Source organism: Homo sapiens, chromosome 5 (assembly GCF_000001405.40).
Source record: "Homo sapiens chromosome 5, GRCh38.p14 Primary Assembly".
Classification (NCBI taxonomy): Eukaryota; Metazoa; Chordata; class Mammalia; order Primates; family Hominidae; genus Homo; species Homo sapiens.
Window position 1 is genome coordinate 154,360,107 of NC_000005.10, and position 21,050 is coordinate 154,381,156.

Below are 21,050 nucleotides of genomic sequence, written 5' to 3' on the forward strand. Positions count from 1 at the left end.
AAATAAGCAATGCCATATCTCTAATATGGAATATGATGAATCTATTAAAAACTATGCACTGGGCTGGGTGCGGTGGCTCACACCTGTAATCCCAGCACTTTGGGAGGCTGAGGCAGGCGGATCACTTGAGGTCAGGAGTTCGAAACCAGCCTGGCCAACATGGTGAAACCCTGTCTCTACTAAAAATACAAAAATTTAGCCGGGCATGGTGGCACATGCCTGTAATCCCAACTACTTGGGAGGCTGAGGCAGGAGAATCACTTGAATCCGGAAGGCGGAGGTTGCAGTGAGCCACGATTGCGCCACTGCATTCCAGCCTGGGTGACAAGAGCAAAACTCCATCTAAAAAAAAAAAAAAAACAAAACAAAACCGCACTGGATCCACATGACATAAGCAGAGCTCTAAGATGTATTATAAAGTGAAAAAAAAGCAAGTTGCACAACCACTTATATAATACAGCACAGAATACAACCAATACCATATCTTTTCAGTGTCAAGTATATGTGTGTAAACATATAGAAAAAGACACAGAAGGATATATTCCGAAGTCCCAACAGTGGTTACCTATGAGACAGGGGAGCCAAACCAGATTAAAGATCATGGTCAAAAGAAACTTCACCCTTTTTTGTATTTATAATGTTTTATTTCCTTTCACAAGGAGAATATGTTTATGTATTTCTCATTTAATTAAAAAACAATACTATCTTGGAGAAAAGAAAGTGGTTGATCCAAGAATTTATTTCCTGAAATGTTTTAGAGATTTAACATCTTCCCCTCCCAGCTGGAGATTTGTGTCTTAATCCTTTATAGGCTAAATTTTTGTTTCTCAGCAAAGCCTATATTTGATACTCACACATACTTAAGAAATGCACCCTTTTAATTGAAAGAAATTATAAATTGTTTATTAAAAAGATTTATCATTAGAGAGAATATATGGGACTCTTAATTCCCTGTGTACTCAGATGTTTTAAAACTCTGTATCTTTCCATGGGTTGTTTTTTCCTATCTAGAATGTCCACCCTGGTGAGCTTCACTGAAACTCTGCTTAGGAGACCTCCACTGCCCTTGGTCCCCCTCTCCAAAGTTAATCCTTTCCTAGAGAGCTGCTGCTGATCTTTGCATATGCTTCCACTATGAAAGGAAAGCACAGTAGTTAGGAGCACAGGCTCTGGAGTCAACCCGGCCTGGATTCAGTCCCTGCTCTGTCACTTACCAGCAATGATAAGATCCTCCAACTCTCCAAACCTCGATTTTCTCATTTCTAAAATGGGGATCACAGTCCCACCTTGTAAAATCATCAAGGGCATTAAGGGAGATAATACATGGAAGATGCTTAGCACATGCCTGGTGCAGAGTACACTCTTACTATGTGTCAGCTGTTCATGTTCTCATTGCAGAAATGTCTTCCTCGGACCCGAACTTGGTTACTTGGTTTCTGATCGGCTCATATCATCCCTGAAAAATACTGGAGGCTCAGTTAAATGTTATTTTGTACTGAACTGTGCAGTGAGGAATAAGGAAGGATGACCTTTTGGTCCATAAGGATTTTCTGCTAAAAGAACGTGAAAGCCTTAACAGACCATAGGTATTAAAAGAGGCCATCTAGACAGTGGGTTAATTGGTGGTGTTTAATTTATGTTTACATATCTGATTTTCAACAATTTCTAACATGAGCACCTATTAATATGACTTGTATAATTTCTTAATGCCCCCCAGAGGAGGACAGCGGTGACCCACAAGAATCGGGTAACCAGTGGTGGAAGGTCAGGCACTGTGACAGACTCAAATGGAATAGGTACTGAGGAGCCATGTGGCATTGCTGGCAAGACTCACATCACACCACCTGGCTTCTGGGTGATGTGGGTCATCTATGGCTCCACCCAGACAGCCATCTGGGTCCCTGAATGGGAACAAGATGCCTCTCCAGGGCTGAGAGTCTTTTGCCACAGCATGTCCAGGCCAGTGCTCCTTGTTTGCTTTTGAGCTTATGATACCCCAAATATAAGAAGCTCCTTCTGTTCAAACTGGGCACCCCAGCAGGAGGTGAAAAGTATCCCCCTCATTCCAACAATGGACACTGGGATGTGTGCATGTGTTTGTTCATGTTTGTGTTTGAGCCTGTGCTAACAAATCGAATACCTGGGCATCGAGCAGCTCATACATAACCAGAGGACCAAACAGTCTTTCTGTCCATCACTGGTCTGGGTTCAGAATGCATAGACCTCCCAGCCCACGTTGCCTCACATACACCACATTGTGGAGTTCTCTCGGAGGCAGCATTCAGTGTGCTTTCAGGCCTTTGACAAATTAAACATTCAAAAGTAAAAATTGCTCACTGCTAGGGTAGGGGGAAAATTACAGGGGTAGATAAAACAGGCTAGAGCTTATGAAAAGAAAACCACAGTCTCTCTACGCTAATTACTAATGCATCTCAGAAGGAGCTCAGAGGTTAAAGGACTAAGTCCTTAGCTGGATTTTCACCATTCTTAGAACCAATTGCAGAGAGGCATAGCATCTTGGAACTGTGAAATGATACAATTCCAATGCTGGAGGGGGGTCTTCGAGGCTACACAGTTCAACTATTTCTCCAATATTTGAGTCTTTTTTATGGTTAGCATAGTAAGTTTCACCTATGATTGAATTCTTCCGGTGATGGACAACTCACTGTCTTATGAGCTATCCCATTCTTTTGTGAGACAGCTCTTCTTATCAGAAGGCTTTTTCCTTACATGGAGCTGAACTCTAGCTCTCTGCAAAGTATATCTTCTGGTTCTAGTCTTGTCTTCTGGAGGCAGAGAGCATGGTGTCAGGGCGAGGGCATAAGCTGTTGAATCACAGAGCCCAGTGTTCTAACCTACCAACCGTCCACTTGGGCAGAAGAACTCTCTCCCAACCTCAGTCTTTGTATCAGTCAAAGTGGGGCTACCTCCCTGGCTTCAGTTAATTTGAAGATAAAGTGAGATAGTGAAAAGAAAAAGGACATGCTAGAGCTACATGTACTGTTATAGAAAGATGATTTTGGCATATTGTCAACTGGACAAAACAGGTTTCAGAAGAAATAAGCATAAGAAGATTGGGATATTGGGTGAGAAATAGAGCAAACTTAAGAGTGGCCATCTCTGGTGGGTGTGACTAGCACAGCTTGTCACTCAGATGTTACATTCTGCCATGATGGTTAAAACATTTTTTTTCAAAAATGCATCATATTTAGAATCACAAAAAAATAGTCAAGACTTTCCATTTTAGAAAGAAAAAGATGAAATATCCAGAATATTTTATGTCCAAAAATGGAGACCACCTGTATCAATTTTGGTGTGTCTTTCCCTGCAGGACGTCTGAATCTTCAAGGCATATCCTGAAAGGATTTTGTGCCAGCGTTTATCTGAAAAAAAAAAAAAAAAAAAAAAAAAAAAAGGCTCCAAACATCTAACAACAATGACAAAATCAGTGACTGCTTTAGGTCCTGCCCAGTCTGCCTCAGGGCCTTTGCATTTGCTGCATGTGTGATATTAACAGGGTGGGCACACCTGAAACACAACCATCCACAAACACACTTGCATGTGACGGGCAGAGATGTTAAGTGGGGAGAGAGGTTTGAGTGGGAACTTCATGAGTGGTCATTTTATTGATAAATATCCTGCCCAGATGATAGCATTTGCTTCCTGACGCTACCTCCTATGTTTGGAGACTCACAAGTGTACCTGAGTGACAAGGCCTCCCAAACATGCTTTATATCTTCCCCTGGGTGACATGTTGAGTCTTTGGAAGCACATTGGGTATATGGATTTTATAAAATAAAAGCAGCAAATGACAAGCAAAATATGTTAAGTTATGATCGAACATCTGTGTGCCCCTACAGTATGCCAGGTGCTGTGAGGAAAATCAATCACTCTGAGTCCTGCCCTCAAGAAGCTTGTGCCAAGCAGATCGACACAAGTCCCAAATCAGAACATGCAGATGATGCTTCAGGAGCACTTTGCGCTGAGCCTGGGGAGAAGAATAGAATAGGATTCCTGGAGACAGAGAAGCAGACAAGGATGCTCTGAGCTGACAGATTTGCAAGAGTAAAAGAGTGAAAGCAAGGAAATTAGTCGAGCAGTGTCTGCAGAGAATGCACCAGGGGCAGGGCTGAGATGAGAGATGGTTCTGGAAAGGTTGGTTCTGGCCATCCTGAGAAGCCTGAACTGTCACCATATGACATCAGTAGACCTGTGCTGTAGCACCGGTAGTGTGAATGAGATGAGAGGTGAGGGATTAGATACCAGAAGACCTGTGCATATCAGATTAGTCTCTGGTAGGGGACATTTCTGTAAGTGGCAGAAGATCCCAATGCAGAAGCAGAAGGAAGAGGCCCTGAATGGGAGGTTTCAAAATATTTGGTGTTGGATTGGGTTGGGGTGTTTTGCATGGGGAGGGGGCAGTGGTGGTTGAAGGAGGTCGTAAGGAAAGTTCCGACATATGTTCAGTTTTCTCTTCCTGTGCACTGAGCAGGAAAACTTCCCCCAGGAGAATACTTTTGCCCTTTAACAAATATGAAACTGACAGGCCAACACTGTTGCTGAAGTGGAAGGATTTTTTTTTCTTTTTTAATAACACCTTAAACGATAGTCATGGAAGCCGGCATCCTAAATGAAATACATGTTGCTCTCCGACACCTGACAACCTGACATAATTTAAGAGCAGCTACCAGAAGCCCACAACTGGAATTGCCCATGAATCTGCTCTCCTGTATAGGCTCCAACTGGGTGAAAAAGTGAAGTGGGCTGAGTCCAAAGGGCCTGGTCTTCTCTTCTTATTTGTAGCTGATTGGTGGGGAGTCACTTTCAGAAAACAGAGGAGGCTGTAATTAACTTGATAGGGGTGGTTTCTGGAGTGTTTTTATTCGTCGTCTGATTATTAAACAGATTTATGGCCCTGCCCACTGCTGAAAAGGGACCAAGGCATTTAGTTGAAATTAAAAGTGCAGACAGGGCTGCCTGTTTAGATAATAGCATCTCTTTTTTAATAGATTACTCATCTTCTGCAAAATAGGAGAGAGGAGTTAATTTGTGTGATGAAGTGCTTTCTATTTCTGGGAGCTGGCTGGTGGATGTGACTGCTTGAAGAAGGAGAATAATTCATTCTTAAAATCACCAAAGGCATGTTCAGGCCAAATACCTGCACCCGAGGAGTAGGTTAATTTGTAGCGTGATACCTAAGAACAGGGGGGCCTGTGGTTTCAAAGCAAATATTTGGGGAAGGTGTACAATCTTTCTTTAGGTTGCAAGTCATTCCAGCCACTCATTTTCAGAAAAAAGGCCAGAGAAATAAACTTAACATGTTAATCTAAGCAATCAGTCCAGGAGGCCTTGATTGTTAAGGGATGGTGAAAAGAGACTGACTTAGACTTGAATTCCAGAGAAGCCAACATGAGCTGTTTGATCTTGGGCAGTAATCTAGAGTCCCCTGAAAGAACCCACGTGCACCAAACCATCATCAAGGAAGACTTTAAACTTAACTGAGCACTTGATGGAAGAGGCAGAGTAGGGGTTTTACATCACATACTCTATAGCAGCCCACTCGCAATCTCTCTAGACATTCCTGCTCTCCAAAGTCCCCTAGGCCACACCGCTGGGGACTGTCTGCCCTCTCACCCTTCCTTCCACACCACACTCAGCCTTACTGGTTCCTCTCTCCTTTTTTCTAAATTTTCCCCCCAGAAATTTATTTTGTTAATGGAACATGTCCATTAGCATTCCACCCAAACTCCTCTTCACTTGTTGTCAGCTACCACCCAAAACCACCTAGAGGCAATACACTATTCTTTCCAAGCTGAACTCTAGTGAAAGGAATTGTCTCCATCTCTTTGCTGTCTCCTCCCATGCTTGCCACTGCACTGACTTGTCCAGGAAGGCATGTATATCAAGAGCAGATAGTACTCGTTTTGGTTGGAACTCCACCAGCAGTTGTTTGCTGTTTTAGACAATCATGTCATCAACAGCAGTGCTGCTTAGGGCACTTGAGTTGCCAGCCCTGTCTGTTAGGTAAAATAATATGCAGTCCAATATATGGCACTTACAAGTGTGAGCATTTGGCTTCTTCTCTGTCTTCTTGTAGTCAGCCTAAGCATTTATGTTGAAACACATATTATTTTATTATTTCTCCTTTACATCACAATTGGAACATTATTAGAATTTTTGGAAATGGGTGTTAGGCAGGTTATACTACATATTAATTTTATTTTAAGGTATTAAAGGGTGCCATATAAAACAGCTGTTTCATAAAGGGGCATTGAGTTGGAGAAGGTTGAAAACCCCTGAATTTTCCTTTAAACTGGAGCTACGAGGTAAAAATAAAAATTTTAAAAAAGAAAAAGAAAACCCCTGAATTAGAGGGTGAGTGAGTCAGCCGGATGTTGGAGCTATGTTGGTCTTTGACTAAGGGGGTTAGGTCCAATTCCCTCAGATCTGCTGTGTCCTTGATGTTTTCCAGCTGCTGAGACAATAGGCCCATAGATACCAAAAGCTCCAATACACACCTTTTCCTGGCAACTCTTATGGTGGTAGGAAAGACAACTAAAAAAGGCCCTCTGGAGTCTTTGGGAGAAGGAAATTGGCTATTTGGGAATAACCTCTTCCTCCACCTATTGGTACTTCAGAGATCTCAAGTCAACAGAAAATGATTCTGGTAATGATCTATTGAGGTAAGCAATGCAATGATAGTCCTGTGTATAAAACCCTGGGCACATTGTTGTCCATTCTCAGAAGGCTAGTAACAATAGCAATAGTAACCATGGTATGTCATGCAGAGTACTAGCCTTGGGTCAGGGGCCGTGGCAGAGGACCACCTGTCTCAGGATCAAGTGGGCCACCTTTTAACATTATAGGTTCCAGGCTGTGCCCTAGGCCAGGGTTTTTCAGATGGTAGGAGTAGACTCATTGGAAGGTCATAAAATCAGTTTACAGGGTCATCATGTCCAGGATTTTAACAAAAATAGAATACAAGAGGATAGAATAGAAAAAAATAAATGTATCCCAGTGAATCACACCTTGTATTTCAGTTATATGTGTGTGTATACTTTTGTATATATTTGTTTCAGGTCATGATGTAAAATGTATTTCTTTCTATGAGTCACAGTCAAAGGTTTGAAAGCCACTGTTCCCAGACATGTAGAATCAGAATCTGTGAGACTACCTCAGCATCTGTGTGGAAACCAGTTTCCCTGGGGGTTCTTGGGGCTGAGGTTTGAGAACCTTTGCTGTGAGCCCTATTGGGATATGTGTTCATTTGTCAGACCTTTTCTCACTTGAAGGTGAGAGGACGGAAACAGAGCAGCCAGGCTAGGTGGGGACCAGTGTGAATCTGAGGGCTGTGCTCAGAGACAGGAGGAGGGATGGGAGGGCACCCAAGCCAGCACCCACCCGCTCGCAGGTTTGCTGGGGTAGGGGGCAGAATAGTCTTGGATTCCTTAAAGAACTTCAGTTTTGGCCAGGCACAGTGGCTCACACCTGTAATCCCAGCACTTTGGGAGGCCGAGGTGGGCGGATCATGAGGTCGTGAGATCAAGACCATCCTGGCTAACATGTTGAAACCTCGTCTCTACTGAAAATACAAAAACAAAATTAGCTGGGAGTGGTGGCGGGCACCTGTAGTCCCCGCTACTCAGGAGGCTGAGGCAGGAGAATGGCATGAACCCAGGAGGCGGAGGTTGCAGTGAGCCGAGATCGCGCCCCTGCACTCCAGCCTGGGTGACAGAGCAAGACTCCGTCTCAAAAAAAAAAAAAAAGAGAGAGACTCAGTCTCAAAAAAAACAAAAAGAAGAACTTCATTTTTCTATTATTCTAGCAGGAAACATGGGATTCTGGTTTTGATCATTTAGAGTTCCTAATATGATCAAGATGGCCTAGGTTGATTTTTCTAAACTCACCTTCGGCATTATGTCACACCAGTGATCTGATCCTCAAACCTTTAGCATGCCTAGGAATCACAGGGAAGGCTTGTTAAAATCCGGCTCAGTGGGCCCCACCCATCTGCTTCAGTAGGTTTAAGGTGAGGCCTAAGAATGGACATTTCTACTAAATTCCCAAATAATGCTGATGCATCTGGTCTGGACTCACACTTTGAAAACCACTGTGTGAGATCACCAGAAAGGAATGTACCCAGCATAGATCCTGGCACAGCAGGAGCTCAGGAAATGCTTTCTTGATTAAACTGGACTGAATTCTCCTCAGCAGAGATGCTCTCGCTGAGGTTCAGTCGGCTCTCTGCTTTCAATGGTGCAAGAAATGGCTGGTTGATATTGAATTGTATGCTTTAAATGGGTGAATTGCATAATATGTGAATTATATCTCAGTAAAGCTGTTATCAAAAAGAAGAGGAGGAGGAAAGGAAGGGAAAAAAAAGAAATGGCCGGCTTTCCAAGCTGCTCATCAAAAGTGTCCATTATGCCTGAAATTGTCTTACAAGCGGACTCATGTCAAAGGAAAACAAAGGTCCTCTAGCTGAACTCTGAGCTTCCTTTCAGCTCTGCCACTCTCTAAAATTCCTCCTGGGGCTCTGAGCCAGAAAAAGTATGTCTTTCCTGAAGGGCTGATCTGTTTCCCTTTTCCAAACAGTAAATGATGCTTAAATGCCTGTGCATTTCACCTGCCAAAACCCGTCCTGATATAAACATAGCTTTCCTTCTCAACTTGTCTTTTTAATTTTCCTGCTGTTTATATTTACCTGTCTATAAGTTTTTCAAGCAAGGGAAAGCCTTAGACATCCTAGAGGACTAGGGTTGGAAACTGGTATTTGCCAGGCAGAATAGAGAGACTGAGGGCATTGAGAGGTGGTGTAGTTGCATGGTTAATAATAACAGCTTTGGAATCAGAAATACCTGCTATGATTCCTGGCTGTCACCTACCAGCTGTCTGAAAACAGATTCACACAAAACTTCTATGAGACTCATTTTCTCTTTGTCTAAGAAAGTTGTCACAAGAGAGTGGTCACTAAGAGAGTTGTCACAAGAATGAAATGAGGCCAGGTACAGTGGCTCATGCCTGTAATCCCAGCACTTTGGGAGGCCGAAGTGGGTGGATCACTTCAGATCAGAAGTTCGAGACCAGCCTGGCCGACGTGGCGAAACCCCATCTCTACAAAAAATACAAAAATTAGCCAGGCATGGTGATGCAGGTCTGTAATCCCAGCTACTCAGGAGGCTGAGGCAGGAGAATCACTTGAACCCAGGAAGCGGAGGCTGCAGTGAGCTGAGATGGCACCACTACACTCCAGCCTGGGTGACAAAGTGAGACCTCGTCTCAAAAACAAACAAAAAAAACCCCAAAAAGAATGAAATGAAGCAATGTGTATGATAGACAGCAACAGGGCCTAGGCACGTGGTAAGCACCTGACAAATCTTGACGATGATAAAGGTGAGGGCCCACCTCATCTTAACATTTCCTTTGGTTGGAAACACCGGAGTATCAAAACAGGATAAAAGATGATGCTGTTTACTAACGTGTACCCTCCTCTCTCTCCAAATGGATTGCCAGTACCTTGTGACACACCAAGATTTACAAGTGAATAAGTCTATCCCAGGAAACAGATGAACTATGGTGCTTTAAGAGCAGAAGCCAAGCAGAGCCAAGATTTGACAAGACCCGGGACACCTACAGGTCCCAGAGCCAGTCCAAGCCTCTGCAAGGTTAGCAGCACCCCAGCAGCCAGAGAACCAATGCTGGTGATGCTGCTGACTCATCTGGTTGGTGGCCCCCTCCCTGCTTCCCTTCTGCTGCTCCTCCTCTTCTTCCCTCTTGGGCTGCTCCATGGGGTGCTCTCCCAGATGCTCTGCGTCCTGCCAGAGCATGGGACAGTAGAGCTCTTCTACTTTTGGCGCTCCTCAGTGCTGTTTCTGCAAGGCTCAGTGGCATCAGAGATTGAAACTCTGAAATATTCCACTTGGGAATTGATCTGATTACACAGAGTAGTGAAGATTCCTGAACGAAGCAAACTATATCTGAGTCCTATCTTCAGCACATAACTTGTTAGCTGTGTAGCCTTGGACAAGAAATGTTTTCTGGACCTTGTCTTGAAGTGAAGGTGTTGAACTGGGACCTGCTTCCCTCACAGGGTTGTGAAAATCAGATGAGATGAAGGTTCGCAGACGCCTCTGGCTTGGGTGCTAGGCACGAGGACACCCTGGTGAGAGGAGCATTCACAGAACTTGCCCTCATAAGCTTAGGGTTGAGTGAAAGAGACAGTGAGGAATTCCATAAATATGCAGGGTAATCTGAGCTGAGTGCCTTGAAGGATGAGTTCCAGGCCTTTGCAAGGGGCTGACCTAGGAACCTGCTGTGGTTTGGGTACATCAGGAAAGGCTTTGTAAGGAGTTGAATTGGCACTGGGATCTGAAGGATGAGCAGGAGTTAACTGGGAGGAATTGTATGGAGGCTTTGGGATGTCAACCAATCCAGGTAGAAGGACGAGCACGGGCAGAGAACCTGAGGCTGAAGGAGACATCCTGGGGCCTTTGAACACCAGAAATAAGATAGTAAGGGAGGGAGCATCGTTGAGGGAGGGGGCAAGACGAGGCTGAAGAGGGAACAGAGACTGACTGTGCACACCTTGCCATATGACCTTTCTTCCAAGAGCCAGGGGAAGCCATTGAAGGGTTTAAATTTAAGCAGGAGAGTGGAAGAGTGACAAGATGCAATGTACTGCTGCTTTTAAAGACTGCTCGAACTGCTACAAACAGACTAGACTACAGAGGGGCGAGCCCTAGCCAGTGCAGTAGGCCGTGGAGTGCAGTGCTCCAGACCAGGCTCAGCAGAGGCTGCCAGCAGGCTGTATTCCTGCCATGTCACTGTCACAGTGCCAGTGTGTGAGAATCTTACTGCTCCTATCTTAGTTTCCTAGGGCTGCTGTAACAGAGAACCAAAAACTGGATGGCTTAAAACAGAAGTTCATTCTCTCACAGTTCTGGAGCCTCCAAGTCCAAAATCAGTGCCATGCTGTCTCTGAAGTCCTCGGGAGGATTCCATGCCTGTTCCCAGCTTCTGGTATTGCTGGCAAGCCTTGGCATTCCTTGGCTCATAGACTCACTACTCCAGTCTCTGCCTCCATCATCACACAGTATCCTCTCTGTGTGTCTGGGTCCAGATTTCTCTCTTCTTAAAAATATACCAGCCATTGGATGAGTGCCCACCCTAATCCAGTATGACCCCGTCTTAACATAACTACATCTGCAAAGACCCTGTTTCCAAATAAAGCCACATTCACAACAACCAGGGGTTAGGACTTCAATATGTCTTTTTGGGGGACATGATTCAAGCCACAACAACTCCTCCTTATGCCACAGTCCACCCGGTAGAACCATCATCAGAGTCCTAAGAACCCTTCAGACCAGACAGGAGGGAGAGGCTCCACTTTAAGACAGGAATCAAGAGAGCCAGAGGCCCCAGACACACCACAGTGTGTGTGTGTGTGTGTGTGTGTGTACACACACACACACACACACGTGTGCACACACTCAGGGCAGCATGTAGAGAGAGGACTGTGGGAAGCGTGGGCCCTGAGTTCTGGCCTCACTCAGACCTCACCAGCTGAGAGAGTTGGGGCAAGGCTTTCCCTAGGTCTCAGTTTTCTCTCCAGTAATATCAGAAGTGATGTTACCTGCCTGCCCCATTCTCCTTGCATTGGCTCTGAGGAGTCCTTGGGATAATCAAGTATTTCCTGAGAAGTTACTGCCTGCCCAACACTGAGATAACTTACTGGGAGTGTTCTTGGCAGAGGAACAAGAGTTACACAAGTTGAAGTTGTTACATCCTTCTCCGTTAATCCCCTGGGCTCTTCTCTTACAGCTTGGTGGTTACAAGTACAGACTCCATTCGCTTCCAAATCATCCCGTGGGCAGGGACAGAGATGAAACAAGAGACATAAAGCTAAAGGATGGGTCTATGGAAGGTTCATCATTCTATTCTACTTTTTAAATATATGTTTGCAGTGATTCTTAATGTTTAAAGTTTAACAAAGAAAACTACAGACTCTGGAGCCAGATTGCCTGGGTTTTAATCCAATACCTGCCACTTACTGTGTGGAGCTTGGAAAAGTTACTTAACCTCTCTGTGCCCTCAGTTTCCTCATCAGCAAAATGAGGGTACTAATTAGTGACTAGCATCATAGAGGTTTTGTGAATATTAAAGGATTAAACAGGTGTAAAGCTTCTGGGGCTGTGGTTCGAGTGAGTACTAAAAAACGTGTTAGCCATTGTTTGGAGAAAGTGGGCACCGAAGAACTACATGTTGCTGTGCTGAAGTAATCACTGTGAGCTTCATGGAATCATGCATTCAGCTTTGGAGATCTTCTAAGTCATGCCTGCTACTTGGAATCTGAGTTTGGGTTTTCTGAAGCAGATCCTGGGACAGTGCAAATAGTTTATTTGGGAGGAGATGCCAGGAAATATCAGCAAGAAAGTACATAAGTAAGAACAGAAAGAGGGGCCACCAGGAAGAGTGCCTGTGACAGGCAGCACTGCAGGACAGGCAGCACTGCGGGCGGCTATGCATGGTCCACTGAGAATTCTGGGAGCCAGCATGGAGCATGTGCTCAGTGTCATCCCACCTGAGGGGTGAGGGAGCTCCGGGGGTTGTTGGCCGAGGTCCGACACATGGACCTCGGCAGCCCCTGGGGCAGAATGGCAGATGCTGGCAGGTTGCAGGCAGGCAGGCATGAGACCAAATGCTGAGAGGGGGTATGGGTGGGGCACCAGATGTGTGTGCCACAGAATCCATCTGTCAGCTCTGATAAGTGCTCATCTAACACCTGTGTAATGCCTTACAATGATGGGCTTTCCCACCTTCAGAATCAGCCTCGGTGTCTATTGGATGGCTCTGAGTCATTATTAAATTAGGGGTAATAAGGATAAAAACAGTTCTGTGCTGTTTACAATCAGGGCAGCCCCTAGAATAGGGGTGATGAGTATGTGGCATTAGGGATGCTGTGTCAGACGCTGAGGCATCTCTTCTCAGTCCTGACACTTTCATACTGAGCCAGGATACAGCCTCAGAATCTTTCTTAACAGAGCTTTAGGTGTCCCTTCCAAACCCATCAGTGTAGGCACTTTGGTGAAGGCAGGTTGTCAGCCCTGCCTTAGGGCTTATGAAGCTGGCGTAAATCTGAGGCTGGAAAAAGCTCTGAGCTAGGTTATAATCATGCTGTGTCAAGGACCCACTGTTTGATTCTAGGTACATTTAACTTCTCTGGCTCTCCCTGCTCTTCTCTGGGTAGAATGAAGGGACTAACTAAAGCGAGGCAGACATGAAGTTTGGTGCAGTAGCAAGAGCCTGCTCTTTTACAATCAAGCAGGGTGAATCTTAGACCTTGGCATCATCATTTATAAACTATGTTCCTTGAGCAGCTCGTATCATCCACTCTGAGCCTCGGCATCTCCTTCTATAGTAGCCAGTTTGTGGTGGTGGTGTGGGTGTCAGAGATAATATAGATGAAATAGGGAGCTTCGCATGCAAGCAGGGGCTCTATAATTGTTCCCTATAATTGTCATCATAATCATCATCATCTTCATTTAAAGTCCCCCCCAGCTCTAAAACTCTATGCCTTTATGAAATGTCCTCATCTAGGAAGATGGTGTGGTAAAATAGGGCAACGGCCCGATTTTGTGTAAATGTGCTGTCTAATAAGGACAAGAGAAGCATAATTGCCCCTAAATAATTGCTCTGACTTTACCACAAGCTGTCAGAAGGCCTTAATTGGTCACTCTGTAATGACTGTGGCCATCTGCATTCGGGGTGATTTAGCGATGGGGCTTTGCCCAAGCAGGGGCCTCAATGATTAGAGCCGGCCAGGGTGATATTTATCCCTCTGATGGGAGTAGTGGTGTGTGGTACAGGAGATTATCTCATTCTCGTTGTAATGACCTATCAGTTGAACCCAGCCAAGAAGAAGCGGTGGTCACAAACAATGACTATGGATTTTTTTCTTTTTTCGAACATAGTGTTCCTGACCAAACAGCAGCATATTTGGAGTGTGATCATGCCTCTTGCTTTCTTGTCTTGTTGCCCAAGAAAGTCTCTTTTGGAAAGATTTAGTCCCTCAATTAGGGCAAATTGATTTCTGCTTTCTACAGAGTCACTGTACCAAAGAGAAGTGGGAAAGGGCGAGGGAAGCCATATTAATCTTTGTGCACAAGCAAGAAAAGACCTGGAGCATTTTTTAGCCTTCTAGCCTCTGGTTGTATGTATGTAGATCATCTTTTCTCTGTATTCTAATTTCTCCTGCCTACAAGATGCCAGACAACATAACACGAAACACACTTCATCTCAATGAAGTTCCTGGTGACAAAAATCAAAGTGATGGAAGCAGTGTTTCCCTAAGTGTACCAGCACAAAAGTCATTTTTTTCACTCATTCATTCATTCATTCATTGAGACAGGTTCTTGCTCTGTCATCCAGGCTGGAGTGCAGTGGCTCGATCATGGCTCACTGCAGCCTCAACCCGGTTCAAGCGATCCCCCCACCTCAGCCTCCTGAAGTGCTGGGATTATAGGCACAGTGCCTGGCCCAGAAGTGAGTTTAAGTCACACCTAAAATATTACAGGTGGTTCAGAGACTTTGCATTAAAAGTAACACTGGATAACGTGGAGGGAAAGCCTTCTCTTTTCAATTCTTTTTCATTCTTCTGATCACCTCAAATGAGGAGCCTTGGTTGGTTTTCCACAGCTCCCTCCTTGATGAAGAGAGGGCAGACTTTAAGCTCATAGTTGTGGAGAGGCAGGAGTATCTGGTAGAAATCTAAAATCTTACAACAAATTCTTATTTGTTGGAGATTTTTAATTATTAGCTCTTTATTAGAAATGATACCAATTTTTCATCTATGGTGTTTAAAGTTTCCTTTTAAAATAAAGTTAATAAAAAGTTTACCTTGTAAAATTTAGTTGACTTTTAAAACAACTAAGTAAATTGTAGTAAAGTAGATGAATGTGGCAAAAATCTAGATGGTAGTATATGATTGTCAGAAACTGGGGAAACACAGCTAGAAGAAGGAAACCATCATGTTTCCACAGCAAACCCAGGAATTTACTGGCCGTATGTCTAATCCTTATGCCTTTTCTTTTTCTTACCAGTTACACTGGCTAGGAATTCTAGTACAATATTGAATAGATGTTGTGAAAGCATACAGCTTTTCTCCTGATCAGAGGAGGAAAGCATTCCACATTTCGTCATTAAATATGATGTATGCTGTAGGTTTCTTTTGCAGCCATCCTAGAGTCTTCATAAAGGACCCCAAGCCTGATTAAAATCAAGAGACACCAACATTGAGGCTGAGACTTTTAGGAGAAAGAGACTGTCTTTGATATTTATTCAAAACAATTTATCCAGACTTGGGGCAGAAATCCAGCCCACATTAGGATAAGCAAGGAGAGGAATTTGCTGTCTTGTGTAATAAGAGCATCTAGGAGTCTGTCTGCTTCAGGCACGTGAGTCTAGGGAACTGAAATGTCATCAGGACAATGTTTCTCTCTCTATCCATGTCTTGACTCGTATTTTTACAGGTTGGCTTCAGTCTCAGCATATTCACCTACCACCTCTCATCACCTCATTTCACCAAAGATGTCACGAGTGGCTCCAAACTTAGGGCCAACCAGCTAGCAAAAGGAAAGGGCCTCATTTTTCAATAATGCTGCAGAATATTCTCAGGACCCATTATTTGAGCCAAATAAGGTCACATGACCATCCCTGAAACAATCACTGTGGCCAAGGGAATGGAATGCCCTGACTGGTCAGGCCTATACTACATGTTGGACCCAGGGAATGGGGTCAGCCCCACCAAAGTCTGATGGACTGAGAAGGGAAGGGGCAGTGTCCCAGATAAAAATAAAAATATTGTTACCAGAAGATGAGGGAATGGTTCCCAGTCAGGCATAAACCACAAATGTTCACACCCTTGGACAGAAGATCTCTCTCTGTTCCAGGTCGTGGCACCTTCACTGGACCTCTTTAAGCCTTAATTTCTCCATCTGTAGTACACAGGTGATGAGAACACTGCCCTTCTTCTCCCTGTCTGAAAGGTCTAGTGAGGCAGTGTACAGGAAAGCTGTGTCTAGACTGTGAAGTGCAGTTCACATGTAAGGGAGGAGTCATAAGGATGACTACTAAGCAACTGTTCTCACTCTTCTGTCCTCTTCTGTCTCATAGAGCACCTGAAGAAGCCTCTTGAAGACTACATGGCCCTTTTCCCCAGTGTGAGGATTCTTCGAACCAAGAAACGGGAAGGGCTGATAAGGACCCGAATGCTGGGGGCCTCAGTGGCAACTGGGGATGTCATCACATTCTTGGATTCACACTGTGAAGCCAATGTCAACTGGCTTCCCCCCTTGCTTGGTAAGGGAGCCCCTCCCACTTGGAGGGAGGCAAACTGCAATGAGCCAGTGCCAGTGGCCCCCTCCTGCTGCAGGGAGCCATCCATAAGCCTTCCCTTGCCTGTTCGAGATGCCCCCAGCACAATGCCAGGTGCCATGAGGGATTCAGAAGTTCAGGAGTGCTCAAAATTAAAATCCAGCCAGTCCTGTCCCTTCATTTCACAGAGAAGTTAAGACTCAGAGAGGCGAAGTGACTTACCCAAAGTCACACAGCACATGAGCATCTAGTGACATGACGGCTTTCCTCAGATGACTTCATTTTATTGCAAAGCAAGCCCGTGCTGTTTGCTGTTAATAGCCAAACTGTGGGGGACATCATCATATCAACTTAGAAGAGTTACCATAGACTGTGCTGCCACTGTGAGCCAGGCAGTTATAAGCATTATCTAATTCTCACAAAACCATGCAGGTCAAAAGTATACCCCTTATGTAGTAAAACAAACTAAGATTCTGAGATACTGAAGACTCACTTGTCCCCTTGAGCCATAAGTGTCAAAGTCACCATCTGTCGGGCTCCAAAGTCTATTCTCCTTCGCAGTTCTACATTGCCTCCCTGTATTCACTTCCTTTTAAATAAGAGTTCCTGGCAGATATCAGGGAAGGGCTGTAGAGAGGGCAGCGTGATCCACTAGCCCTCCACCACAGCCTACAGAGAGGAGGGAGATGGGAAGACTGGAGGCTGGGTGAAACATGCCTGAATCAGGCCTGAATCTTGAGGAGTTCGGTTTTGATGAGGGCAGTGTGCTGGTGCTGAGAGGCAGACATGGAAGAGGAACTGTCCTGTTGAGACTGGGAGTCAGGTGAGGGACACAGCCAGGGCTGGAGGCAGACTGGGGAAGAGTCATCATTCTGGAGAGAAAAATGAACTTAAGAAAGGATGGGTAAGCTCTGCACTACAGAATGCTTAGGGAGCAAAGAGAACTGAAGTTTAGGGCAAACTTGAGCGTGCATCAGAATCACCTGAAAGACTGTGAAAACACAGATGCTGGCCCCTATCCACAATTTCTGATCCAGGAGGCCCGGGGTGGAGCCTCACAAGTTGCATGTCTACCCAGCTTCCAGTGATGCCAGTGTTGCTGGTCCAGGGACCACACTTTGAGAAGCACTGGTTAGGGAATGCCACCATTCAGGGGAGAGGACAGAAAGCAGAACCCACACAAACACACAGAAAGATAATCCCGCAAATCTGTAACACAGATCAGCAAGGAACTTTCTTATTAGATTCTGTGCTTCTGACCCCAAGGGTCTACGATCTCACTGGGCTGGAGAAAGGATATAACCCAGAATTTCTGGTAAACTGTTTATTTAATTAAACCAAGAGATATTCTGCATTTACCTCTCATTACTGAAAGAAAAAAAAAAAGAAAAAAGCCTCACCATAAATTGCCTAATTTATAGTCCTGAAGGAACAACCCATTTGTAGGGTCATTCAGTGACTCATAAAGAGAATGAAGTGGTGGGGCTCGAAGCTGAGCTTGTAGTCTAAATAGCCCTTAACTCTGTTTCTATGGAAATATATGAGGGCAGTTTTCATAATCTGCAGACATACATGGAAGAAACATCCCCTTGTTGGTTTTTGTTGTTGTTGTTTTGTTTTTTGCTTCTTCCAATAGAAATGTGAACCAGTGATGTAGATTTAAAAGTCTGTCCCTGCTAATGTCAGCAGCTGACAGAGCGCATCATGGCTTTTGTCTGTGAAACCATTAACACCTCCATGCATAGCTCACTCTGCCTCCTTTGGAGAACACACATTTCTGAGACTGAGAAGGATTCATCCTCCCTATGGGAAGCCACTGTTGATCATCATTTCCTTTTTTATCATCATCATCATCATCATCATCATTATCACGGCTCTCATAACCCCTTCACTTTCTCAGCCACATTAACATTTGAATTTGACCATTGCCTGGTAAGGCAGGCAGACCAGGCATCATTATCCACTTTTTGCAAACGAGAAAACTGAGAGGCACAGAGTGAGGGAGATGCTCAGCCTTCCACTCCCACTTCTGAGCTGCCCTCAGTAATCCTGGTCATGGAGAGTGTCGCTGAGTGCTGACTATGTGCCAGAGGCTGCACTGAGTGCCGTGGCTCCATCATCCCACTTGGACCTCACAGAGGCCCCATGAGATAGGTGCTGTCTTCCTCCCCTTTGTCAGCAAGGAAACAGAGGCTCAGAGACATCAGATAGTCTTATCGAAGATTATACTGCTAAGAGGTGAAAAAACCAACCAGGATTTGAACCTGGGCATTCTGTCCCCAGGTGGGCACAGTGCCTTAGAACACTGCCTTCCGAAGCTACCTTGACCTCATGCCTCCCACAATCAGCCAGCAGCCAGCAGGGCACTGTGTCCTCAGCCCCAGCCCTCCTTGGACATGAAGTCCGCTGAACGGCCATGAACAATTAAATGGGAGGCCCTACTCTAAATCTTTCTCTAGAGGAGATTCTTAAGCTTCATTAAGAATCCCCAGGGAATCTGTCCACAAGGCAAATCCAAGTCAACCTCCAGAGATTCTGATTCAATGGGCCTGGGTCGGGGGCGGGCACGTGAGTTTTTTAAACACACCCCCAGGTGCATCTGGCACTGATGGCCCCTGATCCACATGTGGGGGTATACTGCCAAAAACAGTATTTCTCAAACTCTTTAAACCATGTGCCCCAGTAAGAACTACCTTGGGCATCTCAATCCAGTACACAGATGAACACACTCATGCAGTATGACTGAAACATGTTCCTGAAAGAGTATCACCTGTCACAGTATCCCTTATCACCTGAAATGCAGCCTGATATTTAGTATTGTTTTTTGGTTCATTACAAATGCACTTACAATCAATTTCATGACCCCACCTATGGACCGTGCCTTGCAGTTTAGGAAAAAGCAAAAATGCTGTTTTCTTTCCTGGAAGAAAAATGTGCTATCACTTGATGAAGGAAGCTTGGGCCCCAGGCAGCTGCTGGCTGCCCTGGCCCTACCAGGCTCCCATTTCTGAGCCTCGAATTTGACTTCTGGCCCAAAGCAACCAGGCATTGAGCACAGCCCACTTGTCTCCCACAGCAGATTGTCTGACCCAGTAGCTCACTGTTACCCCCCAGCTGTGGTCAGGGCTTCTTGGCACAAAGAAGAAGGGCAGAGCAAACCAAAGCTGGAATTGTGTTGGTAGGTTGGACAGACTCGATTTTCTAGAATCAGCTTCTCCCAGGCCTAAAAGGGACCATAAGCCATCTAAGTCAAGACCCCCCATTTGCCTTTGGAATCACCCAGCCTATGGCATCCCTGCAGGGTGTTGGTCCACCAGGCTCTGCTTACATACCTCCAGTCTTGAGGAACTCAAACTTCCTGGGGCAGTTCATTCCCCCATCCATAGTTCCGATGATTGAAAGAGTTGAGCTGAATTCTTGCAAGGAGGGCCGTTTGCTCACTGATTACAGCCTAGGGTGCCAGTGAGCTGTTAGGGGCACATAGTCTGCTATGAAGGAAAGTGCTGGGGTGCCTACTGCTTTGGGCCGTAAATCAAGCTCAGGACTTGGAATGAGGAGCCTCGCAGGACTAGAGCAGGGGCCTTCCCAGAAGGAAATCAATCTTTTTCCATAGTGGTACTGATCATTATGCTAATAATAAGGCACGTATGCTAAGCATTTTCAAACATACTGTGTTCAGTCCTCATAACCTATGAGGCAGAGCCTCTTCTTAACCCATTGCATAGAGGAGAACACTGGGGTTTGGAGATATTATTTGTGCAGCTGCCTCAGGGCCCCATGGAGAGTAAAAGGACTGAGATGAGAGCCTCGGTCCCTCTTGCTTAAAGCTTGCAGTCTCCCTTCCCCTCCATGGATTGTCAAACTGAGGGTTCAGAGATGTTAAAAATACAAGTAAGCTGCAGAACAGGATGGTGCACTTAGCTGCTTCCCCATCCTGCTTCATCTGATAGGCATCTCTTGGCTTCTTCAGACCGCATTGCTCGGAACCGCAAGACCATTGTGTGCCCGATGATTGATGTAATTGACCATGACGACTTTCGGTACGAGACACAGGCAGGGGATGCCATGCGGGGAGCCTTTGACTGGGAGATGTACTACAAGCGGATCCCGATCCCTCCAGAACTGCAGAAAGCTGACCCCAGCGACCCATTTGAGTAAGTATGAACAACCCTGGCTGGTCCCAGTGGCTACCCAGTGACCACTCCCAACACGCACACAACTCAGGATCGCCATCTCCCTTAAAAGCCCAATGCAGAGGGTCCAGCTTCCCAGCCCCACTTAGTACCAAGTGTCAGATATCCCCAGCCAGTAGCACCATCCCTCCCAGCTTGTAACAACCTCAGCTCATGGCCCACCAGGCTGGTCTCCACCTTGCCCACTTCTGCACAGTTTGCCAGGATTGTCAGCAGGGGTGAGTGGGTCTCTCATGCTCTCTTCCTCAAGCCTGCCATGCAATTATAACCATCATCGTCACCAAGTGCCCAGCCCAGTACTAAGCACATTACCCTCTGATCCAATTTAACCCCCTACAACTATATATGGTAAAAATTATTATCCATGTTTTCCAAATGGGGACACCAATGCTCCAAGAGGCTAAGTAATTTGCCCAGGTTACTAGGTACAAATGCAGGTCTGTCTGTCTGCCTCTGGAGCCAATTTTCCCATCGTACTGCTATACC

General features: G+C 45.3%; 1 protein-coding gene across 1 annotated transcript in view, besides 1 other annotated feature; it reads left to right on the forward strand.

Annotated features, from left to right (window-relative positions):
* GALNT10 (polypeptide N-acetylgalactosaminyltransferase 10) overlaps positions 1 to 21,050 on the forward strand; it is a 230,252-nt gene that overhangs the window by 169,374 nt on the left and 39,828 nt on the right. The window contains exons 5-6 of the mRNA NM_198321.4: positions 16,171 to 16,356; positions 20,342 to 20,525. Coding sequence (NP_938080.1) covers positions 16,171 to 16,356; positions 20,342 to 20,525 — 370 coding nt within the window. The remainder of the gene's footprint in view (positions 1 to 16,170; positions 16,357 to 20,341; positions 20,526 to 21,050) is intronic.
* Positions 9,934 to 10,592: an enhancer, noted in NCBI's record as "H3K27ac-H3K4me1 hESC enhancer chr5:153749600-153750258 (GRCh37/hg19 assembly coordinates)". NCBI's record gives its function as "activates a minimal SCP1, AML or CMV promoter by ChIP-STARR-seq in primed H9 embryonic stem cells {active_cell/tissue: H9 hESC(primed)}" and the evidence as "EXISTENCE:reporter gene assay evidence [ECO:0000049][PMID:30033119]".